This window comes from Homo sapiens, chromosome 2, assembly GCF_000001405.40.
Source record: "Homo sapiens chromosome 2, GRCh38.p14 Primary Assembly".
Classification (NCBI taxonomy): Eukaryota; Metazoa; Chordata; class Mammalia; order Primates; family Hominidae; genus Homo; species Homo sapiens.
Window position 1 is genome coordinate 87,742,105 of NC_000002.12, and position 24,684 is coordinate 87,766,788.

General features: G+C 40.2%; 2 protein-coding genes across 5 annotated transcripts in view; one reads left to right on the forward strand and one right to left on the reverse strand.

Moving 5' to 3' along the window:
* The first annotated feature begins 5,982 nt into the window (after positions 1-5,982).
* On the forward strand, positions 5,983-17,372 carry PLGLB2 (plasminogen like B2). Its single transcript, NM_002665.4, has 4 exons — positions 5,983-6,098; positions 10,143-10,278; positions 11,424-11,530; positions 14,716-17,372. The coding sequence occupies exons 1-3, from the start codon at positions 6,050-6,052 to the stop codon at positions 11,527-11,529; spliced, it is 291 nt and encodes a 96-aa protein (NP_002656.1). The 5' UTR covers positions 5,983-6,049; the 3' UTR covers position 11,530; positions 14,716-17,372.
* Positions 13,856-24,684, reverse strand: part of RGPD2 (RANBP2 like and GRIP domain containing 2) — a 233,859-nt gene continuing 223,030 nt past the window's right edge. For 3 of the 4 annotated variants that reach the window (XM_047445734.1, XM_017004845.2, NM_001078170.3), the window contains one exon: positions 13,856-15,322. In XM_047445734.1, the coding sequence (XP_047301690.1) occupies positions 15,288-15,322 (35 nt within the window). In that variant the 3' untranslated portion in view covers positions 13,856-15,287. The remainder of the gene's footprint in view (positions 15,323-24,684) is intronic. The other variant, NM_001393613.1, reaches the window with a different exon arrangement.

A 24,684-nucleotide genomic window follows, 5' to 3' on the forward strand; every position in this document is an offset into this window, starting at 1 on the left:
ACAATTCCAGTTTACAGACCTGCATTGCCCCAAACCCATGAGACCAAAAACTCCCTGAGGGCAAAGATGGCCTCTTATTTACTCTTGATTCCCCAGCACCTAGCACAGCACTAAACACTGTACCCACTGAAAGAACATCTGAAGGATGAGAGTTTATAGCAAAAGTGGTTTCCACTGACATTCCCTTCTCTCTTCCCCAACTTTGGATTGAGGAGCCCAGGAGCTGGTCAGGTGGCAAGATAAGATGAGAAAGGAGAAGTCATTACTTGGGGCCTCTGTTTTGCTGGTGTTTTGCTGGTGTGTGGAGATGGTGGGTTTCCCTTGAATACCTGGGAGGCAGGAGCAGGCATGAACTACTCCAGCCTCTGGGTTCTGGACCCACATGGAGGGCTGCTGCTCTCTGGCACCCATCAGTCCTTAACCATCTGGTCTCCAGCCAGGGAAGGAGTGTGGTGGTGGAGAAGCCTCTCTGTCCCACCCACTCATCCCAGGAGCTCACGAGAATCAGCCAAAGTCCGAGTTCTGCACCCTGAGTTAGGAACTCTATAACTTTAGACTTTCCCTGAAATTTGGGAATTCTCTTAACTAGTATGAAAGCAGTTACATCATCCTAGGTCCTCCTAAAATAGACACATGTATCCAAATATAGGCACATGTGTTGCAAACATAACATGTATACATATATAAATATATACATATAATTTTTGTTTTGAAATAAGTATAAACACAACAAGTTACAAATATAGTACTGAGAGATCCTTGTGCCTATGGCCCCGCCTCCCTCAGGCAGTATCTTACATAACTATAGTTCATGATTACAACTGGAAAGTTGCCATTGGCACAATATCAGAAACTAGTCTGCAGACCTTGCTCAGATTTCACCAGGTTTTTTGTGCACTCATTTGCTTTCCTGAAAATATTTTAAGGTTTTTCTACATGACTTATCTCCCTGACATACTGTGAGATAAGATTTTTTTTTTCTCTGAATGAGCTTAGAGAACAATCAATGTGAGAGATGGGAAGGATGATTTGGTGCAACTCTGTTTTATCCATGGTGAGTCTGGACCTCAGAGCAGAAGGACCCTCGTCTCTCCTCTGGGGAGTCCTGGTGCCACCTCAGTGCAGGCTGCTAAGTTATCCGGGTCTGACTTTCTTCTTCTCTGCTAATATTTGTCTTAAGCATGTAACACAGCCATGCTTATTAATGATGAGGAGACAGCCAATGAAAATTAATTTTTTCAAAGATGAATAGATATCTAGATTTTTTCAAGCACAACTCAATTAAGAAAATATCACCTCACTGAGCCCCAAATGAGTTAGGTCTCACTGAGAAAGTGTCTCCTAGTGCCAGGCAAAGTGCCTCATATTTGTAATCCCAGCACTTCTGGAGACTGAGATAGGAGGATCTCATGAGCCCAGGAGTTCAAGACCAGCCTGGGTAACATGGCAAAACCCTGTCCCTACAGAAAATACAAAAAAAAAAAAAAAAAAAATAGCTGTGCATGGTGGCGTGCACCTGTGGTCCCAGCTACTCTGGAGTCTGAGGTGGGAGAATCGCTTGAATCCAGGAGGTTAAGGCTACAGTGAGCTGTGTTTGTACCACCGCACTCCAGCCTGGGTGACAGAGCCAGCCTCTGTTTCCAAAAAAAAAAAAAAAAAGAAAGAAAGAAAGAAAGGAAAGGAAAATGCCCCCTAGTGGATTACGTTTTAACCACTGTGCTAACTTGAGAGATAGCCTGCTATCTCTTTACGGGACATGAGGGCTGATAAGCACCTCATTGCATGGTCCTGGGGACTGATGAACAAAGGCTAACATGTGGAAAAGAGCAACTAAAGAAAGAAGAGCCACCTCCAGGTTAATTAGTAGAAGTCTCCTCGCTGATATGCTCTCATACACTAAAACAGCAGTAAAAACAACCTGCACATTGGCATCGAGGGCACAGATAAACTTGCCGAGGACCCTTACCACGACAGAGGGATGCTTTATATGAATCCTTAGTAGATTAATTAAGTTCTTGCTATTTCCAGTTGGAAATGATACTGTCCTCTTAGGGCTATTCAGAGAAGTTCATCTTGATGAAGTGAGCTGTCCTAGAATGGCAGTTCCCGGGCAGCAGAGCCTGGGCTCAAGGAAGGTGGAAAGAGGGGGTGGCGAGGAGCTGCCAGGTGCAAATGTCAGGCCAGCAATGCAGTCCAGCTTGCATGGACGTGCATCACCTAGGAAGTTGTGACTTGGCTGCATTTTCCACTTCAGGTGAGATGGAAGGGTGAACTCTACCTCACCTCCTGGTGAGGTTGATGTTTCCTGGTGTTTATAACTTTCTTTGTAAATACTTGCAAGGAATTTACCATTTTAATGCTGGAAGAGACGTCTATTCCTTCATAAGAGGACCTGAGTGGATCTTGATTGCAGGCCTTATGCTGGGCAGAGCTAAGGAAATTCAATTTGTCTCCAATCTTATTTGAATGTTCTTTTTTTTTTTTTTTTTTTTTTTGAGACAGAGTCTTGCTCTCTCACCCAGGCTGGAGTGCAATGGCACGATCTCGGCTCACTGCAACCTCTGCCTGCTGGGTTCAAGCAATTCTCCTGCCTCAGCCTCCCCAGTATCTGGGACTACAGGAGCATGCCACCATGCCCGGCTAATTTTTTGTATTTTTAGTAGAGATGGGGTTTCACCATGCTGGCCAGGCTGGTCTCGAACTCCTGACCTCGTGATCCACCCGTCTTGGCCTCCCAAAATGCTGGGATTACGGGCATTAGCCACCGCGCCCGGCCTATTTGAACGTTCTTATGCCTGCTACAAGTGCAGCAGCAGAATCTCCACACATCTTGAGTGCGAAAGTTTCCTGTAGTTCCTTTAGCATGGAGAGGCTGGGGAAGGTTACAGACTGATTTGTACTCTTTAGACATATAGTTGATCATTGAACAACACACGTCTGAACTGTTACACACAGATTTTTTTCAATAAATGTGTTAGAAAATGTTTTGGAGTTTTGCAACAATTTGAAAAAACTCAAAGACAAACCATGCAGCTAGAAATATCAACAAAAATAGAAAAAGTTAAGTATGTCATGAATGCATAAAATGTATGTAGATACCTAGTCTATTTTATTATTTACTACCATAAAATATAACAAAACTATTGCAAAAGTTAAAATTTAGTAAAACTTATGTACACACTCACAGATCGTATATGGTGCTATTCTCAGTTGAGAGAAGTGTATACAAACATCAAGATGCAGTATTAAATTGTAACTGCATAAATTTAACCGTAGTGCATACCACAGTACGGTAATAAGTTCATAGCCTCCTCCTGTTGCTGTTGCAATGAGCTCAGGTGTTGCAAGTATCCACTTAAAACGTTCTGTGATACTCAACATTCCATCATGAGCAGGTCATCCCCAGTGAATTGCGCATCCCAGTAAAAAGTGCCCTCTCCCTGTTCACGTGTATTTTTCATCCTGTTTCGCGCTGTACTGTAAACCTTGAATAACACCATGGGATCCACATGAAGTGGCACTAGTGATGCTGGAAGTGCTCCCAACAAGCAGAGAAAAGTCATGACATTTGACATTACAAGAAAAACTTGATTTGCTTGATATGTAACAGAGACTGAGGTCTGTAGCTGGGGTTGCTTCCATTTCAGACAGATGATTCATCTTGTAAACAGGCGGTGTAAACTTACTGTATGGATAAATACATAACAGTACCATAGATGTATTTTCTCCTTAGAAACGTTTCCTTTTCTCTAGCTTACTTTATTGTAAGAATACAGTATATAATACATATAACATACAAAATACATGTTATTAACTGTTGCTGGTCAACAGCAGGCTATCAGTAGTTAAGTTTGGGGGAATCAGAATTATACCTGGATTTTCTACTGTGTACGGTCAGTGTGCCAAGCCCCCAAGTTGTTCAAGGGTCAACTGTAATCCTAAAAGAATCTAATACAATATTGTACACAGTAAGTGGTCAGTAAATAAGGAATTGAACTAAATAAGAATACATAAATCTCAGAATATGTGCAACCTGATCGTAGTACACAGAGATCTCTCTATATCTCTTTTCTCAGTTCATGCCATTATTTCAGGTAGAAAGCACCTTATTTTGAATTAGTTGTCTTTAGAGCAAAAATCCGTCTAAGAGTGCAGTGTGGTTTCCTATGCACAATCTGGAATAGTCCATTGCTTCATGCCTACCCTGGACATGAAGGGCCGTGCCACAGTGGAAGTCTCTATGCATCCACCCCTGTCTATACCTGAGCAACTCATTCCTCTTTGCTGCTCTCTTACAGGCTACAGAGTGCGGTGGCGCCAGCACAGAACTCTGCTCAATGTCCCTCTGTGCTTTCACGATGCTGATGGATTATGAAGGTAGGGAAGAATGTACAGCCAGGAGGCCATTAGGAGGGCAACTAATTTATAAAATCGCATTTGTAGAATTTAATGCATCCAACACCTACCAGGGGAAAGGTGGGCAAAAGCTATACCAACACCACCCAAGTCAAAACCAAAACAACAGGAAAAGAAAATTATGTGGATGTAGAATTTCTGATAACATCATTCCCAAGATGCCTTATCCAAGAGGAACTGCTACAATAATATTTTAAGTGGAAATAAATACATGCTGGAAGCATTATATATTAGTAGACTTTGTTTTTTTTTTTCCCCAAAGTACTTTCTCAAGCACATCAACATAAGCCCCCTAAGAGACATTTCACATTAAAAATAAAACGTCTGCCCACTGCTGGTTTCTCAATTTGCCTCCACCTTCTGTCCCCTTTAATGAACTGGGCCACGAGGTGAGTCAGAGAGGATAAAGGGAGTGGTAAGAATTTGAGGAGAGAAGAGAGTGAGGCTAGAATAGGAAATCAGGAAATGCGATTCGGTCCCCCTGTTCCTCACATGGGGCCACCCTCTTGTTGCCCAGTGTGGTTTCTTCTTGAGGGTTCTGCATGATTCCTCAATCCCAGGGAATTCCACAGGATGTTCCACCCAAGACCATTGGGCTCCCACCTCTACTCTTTTGCCAGTTAATGAATAGGCAGGAATTTCACTGCCTGGAAAGAGGAACAATGCTTTCTGGTCCTTATTTCACATCTAAAATAGAGAGGTCAATTGATTTATTGCTAAATATCTTTGAACACTAAAATAGAAGTTTTACAACATATATACTACCTGGTTGCTCTAGACTTAAGCCAGGGAAAAGTACAGATTCAACATTTAAAATTGAGATAGACGCTTTCCACTTAGTGCTACCAGTCTTGCTTTATTTCATGAGAATGAGAATATAATAATATGCCATACGTTCATTTGGGGGAAAGATTGATGTCTTATAATTTATAATTACAGAAAACATGTGAGTTCACTGGGAATAAAGAAATTTTGAAGATAATAAGATACTTTCACTTATGTCGTAATTTCTATGTCATTTGGTGTAGGATGTGGAGATATTAACATTTACACCTAACTTAAGTTTGTCATCCAGGACCTGAAAGGGTTTTGTCTATCAGCTGCACCCCTGGGTAGCGACACAACCTTGGGGAAGGCCTCAGCCCCATCCCTCGTACAGCAGGAATGAGAACAGCACTGCCTGTTGGGAAGCTTGAGGGAGGCTATGGACGTGCAGCGCTTGGCAGAGGGTCTCGTCATGGAAGGTTCCAGCAAATGTGAGATACTTTTCTGATTTCATTTTCTCCAAAAGAAAGGGAATAAAAGAAGAGGGGAGGAAATAAGACTAATTGTGAGAGATAAAGTACAAAGGTGAGGGAAGGAGTAAGGAGACATGAAGGCAGCGTGGAGCAGCTGAGGGGGGAGATTGCTTTCACCACTTCCCAGCATCTATTGCAGATTCCACCCTCAATCATTTTGTAAGGACCCTTTATTCAAGGTCATGTTTGAACCCTGCTGAGCCAGTGGCGTGGGTGTCTGAGAGAATCATTAACTTAATTTGACTATCTGGTCTGTGGATGCGTTTACTCTCATGTAAGTCAACAACATCCTGGGATTGGGACACACTTTCTGGGCACTGCTGGCCAGTCCCAAAATGGAACATAAGGAAGTGGTTCTTCTACTTCTTTTATTTCTGAAATCAGGTAAGACATAGTTTTTTTAAATTATAATAATTATTTTTTCTCCCACAATGCAGTACAAATACATATGCCATGGCTTTATGTGCAATTCATTTAATTTTTGATTCATGAAACTCCCAGTTGAAAATCTTGTATAAGATTGAGGAATTCTTCAAGAAATAAGTTTAGTTTTCCTGTGAAGATTGTCAGCGTGCTGGAATGAATGCGCAGAGAAAATAATGGGTGGTTTTTCAAATCTAAATGAGTGCACCCACATAATGGCCAGTCTAATTGAAAAAGAGCCAATGTAGCTAACTATGCAAAGGACGGCTAAGCTCTTCGCCTGGTTCTCAGTTTGACTAATTTATATAATCTCTCTTACGGTGTCATGCTCCCCTCACTTGCAAGTTAAAACAATGAAATTTCTCTTTGAATATATTCTGTTCTCTCACCAGTTCATGGTGGTGGCAGCGTCAGGGATTCAGCATTTCTCCCTTTGTTATGGCCTGAGGAAGGCTTTCCATCAGTATACGTTTGCCTCTAATCCCCGGAAAAATCACACGCATCCATTTGCCAGATGCTGTGTGCAGACAGTGATTCAACAAATACTCACTTAGTGCTTGGGTTAGGTCGCTACATTTTTACACATACATACATACCTGTGTGTGAATGTGAGTGTGAGTGTGTGTCCTTTACAAATACTAGCTTATTTAGCTCGCGGTATAGGTAGGGTAGCATATTCACCCTCATTTTATAAACAAAGAAATCTAGACAGGAAAATCATGTTATTTGCTCAGTGACCAAATTCTCAAATCTGGGAAATAAAGAAAACTGGATTTAAGCCAGGTTTCCCAGAAGGAATCTAGGGCTCTTCTCACTTTTCAGCTTTGTTTAAGCCTTTGAAATAATATTCTAAACATGTCCTAGTAGTTCTTTTTCTTTTTCTTTTTTTAAAAAAAAGCTTTATGGAGATATAATTAATGTATAGAATTCACCCATTTAGGCATACAATCCAATGGATTTCAATATATTGAGAGTTGTGCAGCCACCATCAGAATAAATTTTAAAACTATTCATACCCCCAAAAACGCACTCCACTCTCCTTAGCTGTTACCCCCGATCTGCAGCTTCTGGCAACCACTAATCTACTTTCTGTATTTATATCTTTGCCATTTTGAACATTTCATACGAACGGAATCATACGATTTGCTAGTAGTTCTTCCTGTAAATAATGTATACTTGAAATTCAATCTATAAATTACCAGATAAAATTTTACAAGTTGCACTTTAGAGTCAAATACATTTGAATTTAGTGGAAGCCATTCAAGGAGCTATCAAACAAAATACAGAGCAGGAGAAAATTAAAGAAATTTTTGTAAGAAATTGGTGTATGTTGGGGGTGTGAATATTATATTTCAATGCATGGAAACTATGACATAGATCACTGTGAACTTATTCAGTGGGCTACACCCAAAGGCTAGAACAAACTTCTCCGCCACAGGATTACCAATGTTTTAACCAACCTGGGGGGAACATTCTCTCATAAGCTCTTTTGGAAAGCCAGGCTTTCTGTGGATGTATCATCTTTCCAGTGTGCTGCAATGCCCGGGGAGAGGAAAAAGTTTCTTTTACAGCCATGCTTAGTGGGAAGTGGAGAAACATCTTCCATTTCACAAATTAAGTCTTTTACACATGCAAATATGCATACACATTCACACACCACAGTGAGGAAGAAATTCTCACACCATTAATAAAATACATTTGCATCAGTAGCAATATACATCTGCATTTTGCCTATAATATAAATGTATTTTTCCACTAAAAGATTTGATGTTTCCTTGCCAGCAAATAAGCCCTATCAAATCCTATTGCCATATGAGTCCTAGAGGTGAATAAGAGAAAAAAAAAATGGGGGAAAATTATTTCAAATTAAAAAGAAAAAAGTTTGATTCTGTTTTGGGATATTTCCTAGGGACAGGAGCTGGGGAGGGGATCTCAGCAGCGATGCGCTATGAAGTATAATAACATGACACAGAGAACTTAATTGAAGGGGGAAATAAATGGAAGTTTTCTTTTTTTGAATATCAATTGTAGCCTGCTCTGCTATACTTCAAAAAAACTCTTCAGAAAGTTTAACTGAACTCACCGTAGGACACACTTTGTGGATTTATTGTGTGTTTTGAAGTCACACTGCGAGCTATAGAATTAACCAAAACACAACTCTTCTTGGAAATGAGAGTTCAAGTTGGCAGAAAGTGCGGGGTAAAGACATGGATATGGGCCTAAAGCATCTATTTCTTTGTGATCTTTTGATACATCTCTCAAGTGCTTTTCAGTGGATTAGGTTTAGAATGCATCAGCCAACTCCTGCTCAATAATCCATTTTTCCAGCCCGGAATGTCTTAAATTGAGGAAGGACGAAGTCCCAGAGGTGGGGAGCAGGGGGACTTTGGCCGAGGACTTTGCATGAATTGATGAGCGTGCATCCTCCTCCCTGTGCTCTGTGTACCCTCAGGAGGTCAGGACGGGCCTTTCTGAGAATGAGAATCTGTTCATTTGCCTTCCTACTGGATATTTGTCATCAGCATACAAACCAGTGCGCTCTGCAGTGTGTCATCTTTCAGAACCTCCCCTGACCTCATCTTCCCTGGAGGGCTCGCTGTCTTCAGAGCCAGGCTTGTCTCCCGCTGCCGCCTCCACTGCTCTCCTCGTCACTCTATAACCCACTCCCTCTGCCTGCAGCCCCCACCACGCCCCTCAAAGTGGTCAAGGTTGTCCTGTTGTCTAATTCCATGGAGCTTGGCTATCTTCATTTTATTAGCCTCTTTTGGCCTCTTACCCCTGTGAAAATCACTAGCATTCTGTGCGAAGGATGGAGCTGGCATCTCCAGGCTTGGAATAGACCTACCAAAGCTCAGCCAGATGTCCGGAAGAGCCTCAGGACAAGGGAACACCCTGTAGCCTTGTGGTGGGAGCACAGCTGAGGCCCCCTTGGCCACCCTCTGCCACGACCAGGCAGAAAGCAGCTTTCGGACAGATTCGTTGTCTCAGATTTGATCTCAAAGAAAAACCAAGACCAGTATTTGTCCCAGGTTCTGCTTTTTTACAATTTCCTCCGAAATCCAGATACCTGTCAACACCTTGGAAAAACTGATTTCTCCCCAGTTAGTAGTGTTGTGTGACTGTCATCAGCCCAGTACAAAAATGGCCTTCTTTGTTGGGGAGCTTCTTACCCTCCAGTGTTTTGCCCAATTTTTGTCCAAGTTGGCAACATAATTTAGTTCAGTTCTTGTTTATTTCCACCATCATCTATGCACCAAAATTTATGTGTCTCAAGGAGGGACCATTCAGAGGATGCTTCCCACCAGTTCAAGTGACAGTGTCAGAACCAAAGCGCATATTGTAGGAAATCAAACAATGGCCTCCAAGTTCCATTTCTACCCAGGGATGAACAAATCAACATCAATCTTGGTAACACAACTGCCACTGATGGTGCCTTACTCTTCTCTCATGACATGGCACAATTGATAGCAAACATAAAATTTGTTCTTGTTTAAGGATTTATATCCACTAATATGGTAACATAGTAGTGGTTCCATAGTTCTAACCTGTTTATCAATCCAGTTAATCTTTTACTATCTTGCAATCTGTTAATGAAACTGTTTTTCTTTGTTTTATAATTTCAACTTTTAGAGTCAGGGGTACATGTGCAGGTTTGTTACATCACTAAATTGCGTGACACTGAGCTTTGGGGTACAAATGATTCCCATCACCCAGGTAGTGAGCTAAATACCTACTAAATAGGTAGTTTTTCAGCCCTTGCCTCGCTCCCTCTCTCCCTTCTCTGGTAGTCCCCAGTGTCTTTAGTTGCCATCTTTATTTATGTCCACATGCCCAACTGTGTGTTCTTAACTAAACATTTTGATTCATAGCTACCCATTCTACTTCCAGTAAACAGCAAGTTTTATTTGGTTAATGCTAACCAAATAGATTAAAAGGAAGTCATGACAATTAGACATTGGCATTGATTTACTGACCATTTATTCCACTTGGATCTCCCACCTCTAGGTCAAGGAGAGCCCCTGGATGACTATGTGAATACCCAGGGGCCTTCACTGTTCAGTGTCACTAAGAAGCAGCTGGGGGCAGGAAGCAGAGAAGAATGTGCAGCAAAATGTGAAGAGGACAAAGAATTCACCTGCAGGTATTTTCATCGTCGTTGCACCTACCCAGAAATCTGTAATTCAGATGGCAAGTAATTTACTCACAAATTTATTAACGATTTAAGAGGAAAGAGAAATTTATGGAGCCAGAGTTTGGAACTATATTTGCTCATAGCATGTGAAGCCATACTAACAGCTTCTTGTTAAGGTTTACTGGAGTCTTCATTAGAAAAATACCCTAAAAGGAAGTTATTTGTTTTTACACCGGACATAAACATTAGCAGTTATTGTTCTGAGCTCCAGTTTTTAACATCATCATCAGTAAATGTTTGTTGAGGATCATATGAATGAAAGTGTCCTAGATAGATCTGAGCAATGACTTATAGCTACAAGATCCAGTGCCTGCCCTTCAGTATTTAAGGTGACTGGATATAATGTTAAAAAAAAAAAAAGACAGCCTAAGTGAGCTACAGGCATAATCAATGCATGTTCTACCCAGATCCAGAAGAAAGAACAGTGCCTAAGGTTGAGGCAGCTAGAGAAGGCTCAGGGAGGAGGTGGGAACCGAGCTGGGTTTGGAGTTGAGAGAGCTCTTGAAAAGCACCAGGAAGGCAGGGGAAGATGCGGCCCTGCACTTTCTGAGGGGGACCATTAAGAGATCAAGTTGACTAAAGCAGAGACTTTGTGTAGGTGATGAGCCTGGGAAAGTAGCTATGGATGCCAGACTGAGCACCCATAGCAGGACCACGGGATGGAGATGGGAGGGGTCAGGGGCCAGGGTGGGGTGGAATGTGGGGCAGAGGTTCAGGGGAACTGATCAGAGTTGGGAGGTCATGGAGATGGACTATCTTGGGGAATGGGTTCAAAGCAACCAGAGTTGCTTCTTTCTGACCCAAAAACAAAAATTAAGAAGATGAGTGAAGAAGAAGTAAAACAGTTGAAACAGAAAGAAAGAGAAAATTATGAGGGAGGGAAGGTAAGGGCAGATAAGATTTACTGCCACGTTGGTGTATTTTGTTCAGTACTTCATCAATGCCATGCCCAAATAACTGAAAGAGGCAGCAATTCTGAGCTCTCTGGTCCCTCAAGATAGTCAATGATCTTTAGCATTTCTCATTTATTAATAAACATTTGTTTTCTTTAAATAAAGAAAAATACTTATTGGATTTCCTGCTTCGTTCTGCAGGGCATTCCAATATCACAGTAAAGAGCAACAATGTGTGATAATGGCTGAAAACAGGAAGTCCTCCATAATCATTAGGATGAGAGATGCAGTTTTATTTGAAAAGTAAAGTGAGTACATTTTCTTCCTCCTCCTCCTACTGTCCTCCCCATCCTCCCACTCTTCCTCTTTCTCTATTCTATCTTTAATTTATGAGACCAGAGGAGGAAGGCGCTATGGTGTTGTAAAATTGAATTCTGAGTTAGGACAGGATTTGATTACTAACTAACCATGTCAGCTTGAGTATATTACTTCACCTCCTAGATTTAATTTTTTTTTGTTCAAAAAATGAAAGGATTAGATTTACAAAATCACTTCTACCTCTATGACCCTGAAAATAAGATTTTTAAAATATTATTTTATATTTAACAAGGAGATGGGAAGTCTAAGCATTCCTTTTGGTCTTGGCTTCTTATTCTGCAGGGTGACCATGGTCCTTGGGCCCTAACATCTGGACGAAGCCTTGTAAAACAGAAATACTGAGGTGTTTTAATCCTCAGAAACATTTAGATTGGGACACAAATCTTATTTTTTACTCTTAAATTTTTCACATTTTGGGGGACATGGTCTATATTTTTCTCAGATTTCTGATATGTTGTCTTTTAAAAATGTGTAAAAGTTACAGTTCCTTTTCTATAGTTTATTTTAAAATGTGGGTCAATAGTCCCACTGCTTAGAATAAGAGGCACACAGGATTTCAATAGAAATTGCATGCCTTTTTAGATGTGCGAATGTTTCATTAAGCGTATGAATATTTGAAGAGATGTATGACACTTTAAAAACTGTTTCCTCTACTGTGTTGGTGGCCAGGTATTAAGACTGTTAATAATAACAATTTAGCTCTCCAAATATCCTGCATCACAGGTGTTAAAGAGGACTGGAAACACCTTAGTTCTTGTATTCTTGAGGATGATTTGCCATATTGTGTCTAGTATCACGGCAAAACTCCAAGTAGCATTTTAAATAGTATTTATTTGGGTTGGAATTATTTCTATGCATTGACTCATCTTCCTGGGTTTCATTAGCTGTACGCATTGTACTTTCTTCCTTACCACTATTTATCTCGAATTCTTGAGATTAAAGTACAGATGAAATCTAAACTTTATCTGGTAAAGTTATTAGTTCTTACAAGTAGCAAGCAAACGGTAAACTAAATAGGATGACCTAATTGTACCAGATTTAAAAAAAAAAACAAAAAACCCTGATTCTCCTGATTCTCTCTACAAAATGCTAACATTTAAATATGTCATTTGTAAATTGTTAACCAGAAGGAACATGGGAATGACTGTAGGTTGAGTTTGAAGTGTGAAGTTTGAAGGCTTAGTTTGCTTGTTTTCAAAGTGACAGAAGGGAGCAAAAGGTTATATAAACTCCGGTGGGTACATACAGTTGCTGTGGGATATTGACCTGCTGCTAACTTACCTGCCAGGGTTTTTCCAGGAACAGTCAGTGTTAGATCACGTTTACTTCTGCCACTTGCCACCAGCCACACTGCCTTCACCGAGTCCAAGACCCTATCACCACTGGTTGGGGCTACTTGTAGCTGTACACCTGATCTCGAAGAAATATAACTTCCCTGTTTAAAGCCCTTCCTAGTGCCCTTAAAATAAGACCCAAAGACTTCCCAAATGTGCCAGGGCCCGGCATTATTTACGTAACCCCCGGCTGCTGTTTGCTTGGCTTGCTAAACTTTTCTACAAAGTTTCTGGCCTTACTTCTGTTCCTTCACCACCCCAAGCACACGCCCTCCTGCCTGGGACCCTCTTCACCTTTGTCCTGCTGTGCCAGCTCCTTCTTATCGCCTAGGTGTCAGCTCAATCATCACCTCCTTTGCAAATCTTCCTTGACCCCTAGACCTCCCTTTCACAAAGTACCTTGAGTTTACACTTTGATGAGTGTCTTATGTCTACTGTAATACTATGTCCCAATGAAGATGTACTGGCAATCATAATAGGTAGTATTGGGTTAAAAGCATTAGTTTGCTGTAGGTACGTTAGGAGTACTCCCCATGTGATTGATCAGTGAATTTAAAAATGGCTAAAGTGGGTAACCTTAAATGATGGTGCAAATATACCTTAAACATTTTATATTTTCATTGAAAACACAAGTGTACTTGACACCTCTTGATGTAGAGCAGAGGCTTTTTTTCTTCGAATATGGGGTCACCAGTAGAAGGTCTCTGGTGCATTTCCTGCATAAACTATGCTCTAGTGCAACATCTACAATAATTACTTTCCTTATTTTTGAAGTGGACCATATCTCGACATTTATTAATCAATCTGCATGTGTAAAACCTTTAGATTTTTATGAATTCCTCCTCAAGCTTTATAGTCAACTATATGAGTGGATTGCCCTCTGTGGATCTGATAGCAATTTTTTAAATGATTCACGTTTCAACTTGTTAAAAACATTTAATTTAGTTAAAAACCAAACAAAAAAGAGCTTTGTTTCTTTTCACATTCATTTCTCAGTTTAGATCATCTTTAATTAAATATAAATGTAAGAAAGTTGGAAAATGCAAAGAAACGACTCGTTGTAAGCACATAACTCACGTGGGGGGAACAGACATGGGTGGGCACACTAGCAAACACCTGCCAGCTGCATGTGGACCCAGGTGGGCACCGGACTGTTTTAAACACAGGAGAGGGCCCATTGTCTAACTGGTGAGTTGGTTGAGTGGAAGCTGGTTGAGAACTTTTACTGCAAACCATTTACAGTAGACCACAATTTTATAGTCCTGTTTGGCACTTTTTCATATCACTGGGAGCCTGAAGAAATAGAAGTGGGTTGGATCTCTTTCAGCCTCGGAAAAGCCTGCCATTCCCCCATCTAAAAACCCTTTCCCCATTCTCTTACTCTGTCTCATCATGTATGTAACATGTATCCATGTATCATCATTAAGTGATCTCATTTTATATTGTTTACTTGAATATTTCCTGTAACCCCCCTGTCTGATTCCACTAGAATGTGAGCTCTATGATGGCCAAGCCTCTGGCTGCACTGTGCCCCGTGTGTCCCCAGCATCCTGGTGGGGCTCAATACACAGAGAGCTCATAAGTAGCATTTGAATACATGAATCAAAGTATGGAATGGCCCAGTTTACTGCAGCCTTTTTGCAGGTGCAAAAGATGATCTTTTAGAAAGCAGAAACAGGGGGTCTGGTGCATGAGATCTTTTTCTCAATGTGACTGTGCTGTGCAGACCTTCACGTGGTGTCTTGTGAAAGACTTTGACCACTGTGTGGACTTTCCTTCAGTGTATCTTTCAGAGTGCAAGACTGGGAATGGAAAGAACTACAGAGGGACGATGTCCAAAACAAAAAATGGCATCACCTGTCAAAAATGGAGTTCCACTTCTCCCCGCAGACCTAGGTCAGACTTTTCCTTTCATCTTTGTGTTCATCTACTGTAAAGTGTCCGTCTGTGTCTGTGAGGGATTGGTTCCAGGACCCCTGTGGCTACCAAAATCCATGCTTCTCAAGTCCCTTATGTAAAATGGTGCAGTATTTGCATATAACCTACATACCTTCTCTTGTGCAATCCCTAATATAATGTAAATGCTATGTAATCGTTGTTATACTGTATTGTTTTTATTTGTATTATGTTTTATTGTCATATTGTTATTTTCTCTCATCTTTTTCAAGTCTTTTCCATCCACAGTTGGTTGAATTTGTGGATGTGGAACCCATGGATACAGAGGGCCAACTGTATTTAGGATAATTTCATCACTTTTAATTCAAACCAGAATATGTGAATAAGCAGACAGAAAGAATCTTTTTGATGTCGATGTTCAACTATTTTTGGCACCATAGTAGAACATGGTTGCTTTCTATTTTTTCTTGGGTATGGAGGTTTCTTGAAGACCTAGAACATAGAAGAATGCCTAGTTAAAAAAAAAAATCAATGAAACTACGAGTTTTAGGCCAAATCTGAGAAAAGACCAAAGATGACTATGTTTGGGACTGAAGTAAACATATCAAGTTAGAACTCTCATCACATGTTTGACTCAAATTGTGGAGCAAAATAGTAAATAAAATATAAAAATGAAAATGAAGATACGTGAAATTCAAATGTCACAACTTGCCTATTATTTATTTTAGTGCATTTTTTTGTGCTTTTCCCAGTTTGGTGTTAGGTGGCCTTAAGTTCTCAGTAATGACACTTATCAAATAGGAACTTAGTGTTACTCACCTTTATCCATTCCCCCAACACTCAACAAATTGCCTTTGCTATATCCCTATGAGATGAGCAGATCAAATATTCCCCGTGAGTTAATGAAAACTGATTCAACCAAATGGCGAAGTCAGAGACTATCGGGGGCCATGGAGACACTCTGGGCCATTTTTATGAGGTAGTCTAGGCTCATCTTCATGAGGGAACTGAGGTCTTGGGGGGTGGGGGTTACCCAAATAGGTTCACAGAAGAACCAGAAATAAAACCTGCCTTTCTAGACTGTAAGTCTTGTGATTGTCATCTAAATGGTTGTCTCTATACAGCAACTCATCTCTAGAACTGAAAATAAGTTTAAATCCCTCCTCCATCCCCAATAATTCAAGCTGCATTTCAGAGAAAACCAGGACTTTGGAATCAGACAGATCAACTTTGAATTCTTGATCTGCTTCTTCATAGCTATTTATGCTTAGGCAAGTTTTGTTTTGTTTTGTTTTACGTTGCCACTCAGTCTTCTCATCTGTAAAACAGGGATAATAACACCTTCCTCAAATGGTTTTTTTTATTAGGACTAAAAGAGAGAATGTGTGGAAAGATGTTAGTGGAATTCCTGGCACATAGTTCACATGGACAAAATGGTGTTAACTACGAAAATTTTTACAGAGAAAAGGGCAACTGACAAAAGCAGGTGTTTGGAATGAATTAAGACCATGGCAGGCTTTTGAGGCCTTTATATTTCTCCTGACTGTGCAATAAAAATATTTTGGCTCTCTGTCTAAGACTTGGCTGTCACAGTAGCAATGGTAATATTAGCTACTGTGCCAGAAGCAGCCTATCAATAGAGAAATTGAAAATCTGACCACACAAATGCTGCAGCACCCAGCTGAAATGCATTTGGATGACAATCTCAGATGGGAATCGAGAGCATCTCCTTCTGCCTTGCTAATAGCAAGCTGATTTTTAGAATATAGTCTAAGTGCTTCTCTTCCATCCTCCCCAGATTCTCACCTGCTACACACCCCTCAGAGGGACTGGAGGAATCCAGACAACGATGCGCAGGGGCCCTGGTGCTATACTACTGATCCAGAACAGAGATATGACTACTGCGACATTCCTGAGTGTGAAGGGCAGGAGTGGCTCTAGAAAATGTTTTCATTTCTGCCCTTCACCTGTAAAATAATTTGTTGTAAAGCCCCTTCCCACAGGGATATTATTAATAATTGCGTAACGTGTTCACCTCTCGGAAAGGAGCAAAACTTTGCTCAGATCCCAGAATTAACCTGATTTTTTTTTTTTTTTCTGAGACAGAATTTTGCTCTCATTGCCCAGGCTAGAGTGCAATGGTGCGATCTCAGCTCACCACAACCTCCGCCTCCGGGTTCAAGCGATTCTCCTACCTCAGCCTCCCAAGTAGCTGGAATTACATGCATGTGCCACCATGCCTGGCTAATTTTACATTTTTAGTAGAGACAGGGTTTCTCCATGTTGGTCAGGCTGGTCTTGAACTCTCGACCTCAGGTGAGCCGCCCGCCTCAGCCTCCCAAAGTGCTGGGATTACAGGCATGAGCCACCATGCCCAGCAGACCTGAATTATTATTATTAAAATGTTACATCAACATGTACAAATATAAAACTACATCTAAACTCTAAGTACAGACTTCTTATGCTTAAAACTCTTACACAGTGTTAACCCCAAGACAGATTTGCAATTAAGTAGTTAAAATAAGACAACAAAGTCAATAAAAATCAAATAAACAATATACATTTAATGTGGTAGACTTTGCTGTTTTGCTGAAGCTAAGCAAGGAACCAGTTTTTAAATCAGCAATCCGTTATTTTAATGGACTGAGCAATTTAATAGTGCACCTCAAAGGTCAATGATAAAAACTAAAAAAAAAAAATACCTACTGAAAAAACTGTCATCGTTTCACATTTCTGGCTACGTTAGTGCAAAAGGGAATAAATAAAGGTGAGATTTGTGTGACAGTGTGGATATGGTACTGTGTGACAACTCAGTTCTCCCATCACTTCCACCTGTTTGAATCATCGGGATCCTTTATTTGTACACCATGTTATCGGTATTTGCCCTTAAGCACCACCAATGCACCACTTTTATATTAAGTCTGCCCGTTTTCCTTAGTACTCCATAAAATTTAAGTCACATATTACTCTGCCTCACCATGTTACTTCAATAATTCTGAATCAAAGTTTAAGTTTGTGAATAATTTTGCAAAAAAAGAGCCAATCATGCTTCTCAACAACATAAAAAGAGAAGCGCCGTCACTTCAGGTGAATATTGTTCTCCGTGAGGCCATGAGCATAAACAAAAACTCCAGACTAAAACCCTGAGACGGTGCCAGGTCATTCAGCAGTCAGCGGAATGATCAGTATAATTTCAAACAAAGTTTTAAAGATCATTATTGAAATGATGTATTTTGAGCTTCCTGGATCTGTTCCTTTATGTCTACCTTAGTTCATTTGGGCTGCTGTGACAAAAATATCATAAACTGGAGAGTTTATAAACAACAGAAATTTATTTCTCACCGTTCTAGGGGCTGTGATGTCCAAGACCAAGGCACTAGCAGTGTCTGGTGAGGCCCTGCTTCCTCATAGATGACACATTCTGGCTTTGTCCTCACATGGTGTCAGGGGCTAGCTAATTCCCTGGGGCTTCTTTCATAAGTGCACTAATCTCTGTCCTGAGGGTAGAGCCCTCGTAACCTGATTGACTCCCAAAAGCCCCACCTCAGTACTATCACATTGAGGATTAAGTTTCAATATAACTTTTGAGGAGACACAAACATTCAGACCATAGCTTTATCTATCATGAATTTGGGGGAATTTTCAGTCACTGTTGCTTCAAATGTTTCTTCTGTTTCTTTCTCTTTTTTTTTTTTTTTTTTGAGACAGAGTCTTGCTCTGTTGCCCAGGCTGGAGTGCAGTGGCACGATCTCAGCTCACTGCAAGCTCCTCCTCCCAGGTTCATGCCATTCTCCTGCCTCAGTCTCCCGAGTAGCTGGGACTACAGGCGCCTGCCACCACGCCCCGCTAATTTTTTGTATTTTTAGTAGAGACAGGGTTTCACCGTGTTAGCCAGGATGGTCTCGATCTCCTGACCTTGCGATCTGCCCGCCTCGGCCTCCCAAATTGCTGGCATTATAGGCGTAAGCCACCATGCCTGGCTTTCTCTTTTTCTTCTCTTTCTGGTATTTCCAAAAAGTCTCCATGTTCCACCTTTTGTAATTGTCTCACAGTTCTTGACTCTTGTTCTGTTTTTTCTTTTTCATTCTTTTCTCTCATTGTGTGTCAGCTTTTGAAGTATCTATTGACATCTCTTTGAGCTCACTGATTCTTTCATTGGCCATATCCATTCTTTTGATGAACCCATCAAAGGCATTCTTCATTTCTGTTATGGTGTTTTTTATTTCTAGTATTTCATCTTTATTTCTTCTTAGTGTTTTTATCTCTTTGCTTACATTACCCATCTGTTCTTGCATGTTATGCCATTTTTACATTAGAGCCCCTAGCATGTTAATCTTAGTTATTTTAAATTCCTGGTTGGATACTTCCGATATTTCTTTCATATCTGAGTCTGGTTCTGATGCTTGCTCTGTCTCTTCAAACTGTGGGGTTTCTTGTCTTTTAGTATGCTTTGTAATTTTTTGTTTGAGGCTGTATATGATGTACTGGGTGAAACGAACTGAGTTAAATAAGGCTTTAGTATGAGATTTTGTGTTTCTCTGGCTAGGAGTTAGGCTTTGTTTACTCTTTGCTATATAGTCATGGATGTCAGAGGCTAAAATTTCCTCTAGTGTCCTTGTGTTGTCTCCCCTGTCTTCTCTGGGGAGCTCCCTAGAGGCTTCTTTGTAAAGTAGCTCTGAGTCTTGCAGTGTCTATCCCTAATCATGGGAAAACATCAAACAAACCCATACAGCGGGACATCTGACAAAGTACCAAGTGTCAAGGATCATGGATTGAATCCTGAAACAGAGGAAGGACACTGAAGGAAAGACTGGGAAAACCTGACTGAGGTCTGGAGTTTAGTTAGTGATACTATACCAAGACGAATTTCTTAGTTTTGATAATTTGTTAACAGTTATGTTAACATTGGGGGTAGCTATGCAAGGGGTGTGAGAATGCTGTTATATCTTTAACCTTGGCCCATGGTTAAGGTGTTTCCAGTGTAAGGTCACTGTTATTCCTTGTAGTTAACATATATTTGGCACCACAGGATTCATTCTGGAATTCTCCTTGGCTTATTTATAACTTTTTTTCTAGTAGTGAGAAACCTGGCTTTCATGCAGAGTTTACAAACGCCAATTTAAACTTTTGTTTTGTCATACGCAATGATTTTATTACCTGTCTTTATTTCAGAGCTTATGAATTTTTAATTATTCTAAGGGCTAACATAGAACTTTTCCATGTTTTCTACTCTTCAAGAGTAGGTAAGACTTTAGTTTGTAATACATTACAAAAGGAATCCTGTGGTTCTCTAAGAGCTAATTTGTCTTGGCAAAAGGCCTTAGCAAGCTGTGAGTGGTGGCTCATGCCTGTAATCCCAGCACTTTGATCTGAGACGGCTGGATCACCTGAGGCCAGAAGTTTGAGACCAGTTTTGCCAACATGGCGAAACCCCATCTCTGCTAAAAATACAAAAAATTAGCCAGGCATAATGCCATGCACCTGTAGTCCCAGCTACTTGGGAGGCTGAGGCAGGAGAATCGCTTGAACCTCGGAAGTGGAGGTTGCAGTGAGCCGAGATTGTGCCACTGCACTCCAGCCTGGGAAACAGCGAGACTGTCTCAAAACAAACAAAAAAACCAAAAAACAAAAAAATTAGACGGGCGTGGTGGCATGCACCTACAGTCCCAGCTACTCAGGAGGCTGAGGCAGGAGAATCGCTTGAACCCAGGAGTTGGAGGTTGCACTGAGCAGAGATCATGCCGCTGCACTCTAGCCTGGGTGACACAGTGAGTATCCATCTCAAAACAACAACAACAACAACAACAACAAAAACAAATTAAAAAACCCAACAACAACAAAACCAGCAAACAAAAAAACTAAACAGGCTTTAGGGAAAGAGCAATCTAATTATCTGATTATATGATTGGCACTAAGATGGGAATGACTCTGGCCTGATTTCTTCAGTTTACATTTTAAAATAGGAGCTTAGTTAGCCCCCAAATAATATGTAATTGATGTATTAGCGTTGGGGAGTGAATATTTTTCAAAGCAGAAGATATTTCTCAATTCTTGCTTACTTTTAGAGGTTGAAGTTCAAGGAAGCCCCTTCCTTGGCACTGTATCCCAGGGAGGTATTTGGAGTTAATTTCAGGGCTTAGCAGTGACTCTTTAGAAAAGCAGTATACGATTGAAATGTAATGTGTTACAAATGAGATCACTACAAGTAATTTAAAAATGTGCTAGTAGTGTTTTTTTTTCTGAGACGGAGTCTCGCTCTGAAGCCCAGGCTGGAGTGCAGTGGCACGATCTCAGCTCACTGCAAGCTCCGCCTCCCGGGTTCGCGCCATTCTCCTGCCTCAGCCTCCCTAGTAGCTGGGACTACAGGCGCCTGCCAACACGTCTGGCTAATTTTTTGTATTTTTAGTAGAGACGGGGTTTCACCGTGTTAGCCAGGATGGTCTCGGTCTCCTGACCTCGTGATCCTCCCACCTCAGCCTCCCAAAGTGCTGGGATTACAGGAGTGAGCCACCACACCCAGCCTCTAGTAGTACTTTTATCAAAAGTAAATAGAAACATGAAATTAATTTTCACAATACATTTTATTTAAACTAATATGTTCACAATGTTAAAATTTCAACATGTAATCACTATAAAAACTACTAGTGAGATATTTCACATTACTTTTTTCATGTAAGCCTTTGAAATCTGGTGTGTATTTTATATTTACTGTACATCCTGATTTGGAATAACCACATTTCAATCTTTCAATAGCCACATGTGGCTAGTGGCTACTGTGTTAGAGCAGTTCTAGAACAAAGGAGTCCCTTTAAAACTATTTTGAAGTCATCGTCTATAAGGCAATATGAAAGCTGATCTGAATGATTTCTCCTTTTCCAGGAAAGGAAACAAAAATGAAATCATGTTAGGGCTGCATATTTTATGGATCCCAGGAGAAATACACAGTCTGAAAGAATGATCTCAGTCAGAAACTCAGAATGAATCATATGAATTAAACATTGGACAATGTCCAATGCTCAGCATGTGTTTTTGGTTTATACTAAGAGCATATTATGCCACCAAATACAGATATTTACTATTATACTTCGTGTAGGAGGTATATTGAGACATTGTTCTAGACTACCACAGTTCCATATTTTGTGAAAAGTTATATTGCACTTTTTTTTTTTTTGAGAGTGTGCCCAGGCTGGAGTGCAATGGCATGATCTCAGCTCACTCCAGCCTCCACCCCCCCAGGTTCAAGGGATTCTCCTGCCTCAGCCTCCCTAGTAGCTGGGATTACAGGTGGGCACCACCACATCTGGCTAATTGTTGTATTTTTAGTAGAGATGGGGTTTCGTCATGTTGGCCAGGCTGGTCTCGAACTCCTGATCTCAGGTGATGCACCTGCCTCAGCCTCCCAAAGTGTTAGGATTACAGGCGTGATCCACCATGCCCAGCCTTATATTTCACTCTTTGGGAATTGCATCTTACTGTAATCTTAAACTACACTAAAATAAATAATGTAAACCTTTTGTCAAATTGCTCAGAGTAGGTTTCTACTTTGGTTATAAGGAATAAAATTCATGCTTTTGTGTACACACTAGACATCTAAAGCAACCAACCATAGTTAACAAGCAGTGCTCTTACCAAAAGGTAACTCTTTCTAGAATCTGGCACACCATTTAATATCAGTATGAGCATATGGTGGGTTTAATAATTGTTTTCCATGTTTATAAGTTTTCTTTAGTTTTATAAGCAGTTAAAATGAATCCCTTTCACTGAAATACAATCTGTGGTGGGACTTCTAGCTTTTCTCGATCTTACGCTGCTAGATTTATGTCACTGCCATAGCTATGCAATGGGTGATATTTACACTATGCTCAAACAAAGCAACCAGAAAAACACATCATTGAATAATACAGATATTCTGAAGTCAAGCAAGCCAACTTTCATTAACAGATCAATTTCCTTAGAAAAGTTGATGAAACTAAAGACTGAAGTTCAAAGAAAAAGCCCTCTCAAGGGGGTATGAATTTCTGGTAACTTATGGGGTAAGAAAAAGAGCAAGAAACTTGAAAGTAGGGAAGAGAAAAAAGAAAAGGAGCAAGAGGGAATAGCCAGCTCTCAAAAGAGTCTCCAATAGGAAAGCAAAATCTGTATCTAGCCAGTACCAACATGTGAAGAAAGAGTGAGCATAGCAAAATTGAGAAAGGTTGCTTGAAAACCAAACAAAAAACCAAATACCTGTAATCCTAGCACTTTGGGAGGGTGAGGTGGGTGGATTGCCTGCACTCAGGAGTTCAAGACCAGCTGGGCAACATGGTGAAACCTTGTCTCTACTAAAATCCAAAAAAAAAAAAAAAAATTAGCCAGGCATGGGCTGGGCTGGGCTGTTTTCCAGGCTGGTCTCAAATTCCTGGGCTTAAGTGATCCTCCCACTTCAGCCTCACAGTGTTGGGATTACAGTCACGAGCCACTGTACCCAACCATATGTCATTCTTTAGACACACTGCTTACTAAATTTCTCTTTTTAAAGGATATACTGAATTTCCGGTTGAGCCAACTTAACAGCTAATTTTCTATTTTAGCTTTAAAACATTGATAAGCAACATGAAGCAATCTAGAACTTAACCTTTAAGTGGCTTTATTAAAGCAATCCAGCTATGAAAATTATGCAGAAATGATTATCTACAATCTTACCAGCACATAAGAAATTCTTCCTCTATTCTGAAATACCATCTTCTCACAATATACTTTGATGTTATGAATCAATGTCTGTTCTTGAACATTATTTATTGTCTTTCTCTATTAAACAATTCCAAAATAAAATTTCCAGCACAACTAAATATTGTTGATGATAAGAGGATTTTTAAAAAAGTTCTTTTAAAACAGAAGCTTATATACAACTTAGAATCTAAAACCAATAGATTTATGGTAAACCTTAAAACTGAACCAAAACAAACAAAAACCAAAGTTTTAATCATTTAAAAATCATGTTTATTGAGGTACAACTTATAGTAAAACCTGCCCTTTTCAGCGTATAGCACTGAGTCTTGACAAATGCACAGTTATGTACCACCACCGACCAAGGCCTGGCACATTTTTACCTCCTCAAAGTTCTCCCTGGCTGCTTCTCCCACTCCTTGGCAACCACTAACCTGTTTTCTGTCCTTATAGTACTGCTTTTTTCAGTGTCATATAAGTAGAATCACACTGTACATAGTATTTTGAGTCTGACCTCTGTCAACTGGCATAATGCATTTGAGAATTATCCATGTTGCTGTACTGGCAGTGCATTCTTTTTTATTGCTGAGCAGTATTCAATTGCATGGCTGTACCAGTTTGTTTATTCATTTGCCAGTTGAAGGATAACTGAGATCTTCCTCGTTTTTAGCAATTTTAAAGAAAGTTTCTATGAATAATTGTGTACAGGTTTTTAATTAAATGTTTTGGAGATATAATTCATATACCACATAATTCACCTTTTTAAAGTGCATAAGTCACTGGTTTTTAATATATTCACAAGGTTTGTGCATAGGTTTTTGTGTGAATACTGGTTTTCATTCCTCTTGGATAAAGATTTAATTTGGTATTACCCTTCCAGACACCTTTCTGTGTTTTCATACGTATATATGTATGACGGTTTGACCTTAGGCAGAGTAGCATTTTCAAAATTTTACATGGGGAAACTTTCTAGATTTAAAGCCATTTTATTTTTCTGTTCTGTCTGGTTTTATCTACGTGTTATTTACAATCTGCTGTGTAACAAATTACTACAAACTTAGTACCTTAACACATATTTATTTCACAGTTTCTGTGGGTCAGGAGATCAGAAATGGTTCTATTTCAAGGTCTCTCACAGGGCTGCAATC

What these genes read in the sequence shown, in the direction of transcription:
- PLGLB2 (NM_002665.4), top strand. Translation starts at nt 6,050, where the DNA reads ATGGAACATAAGGAAGTGGTTCTTCTACTTCTTTTATTTCTGAAATCA. An exon ending in TCTTTTATTTCTGAAATCAG is followed by an intron (nt 6,099 to 10,142) that starts GTAAGACATAGT and finishes TCCCACCTCTAG; the next exon opens with GTCAAGGAGAGCCCCTGGAT. An exon ending in GACAAAGAATTCACCTGCAG is followed by an intron (nt 10,279 to 11,423) that starts GTATTTTCATCG and finishes TTCGTTCTGCAG; the next exon opens with GGCATTCCAATATCACAGTA.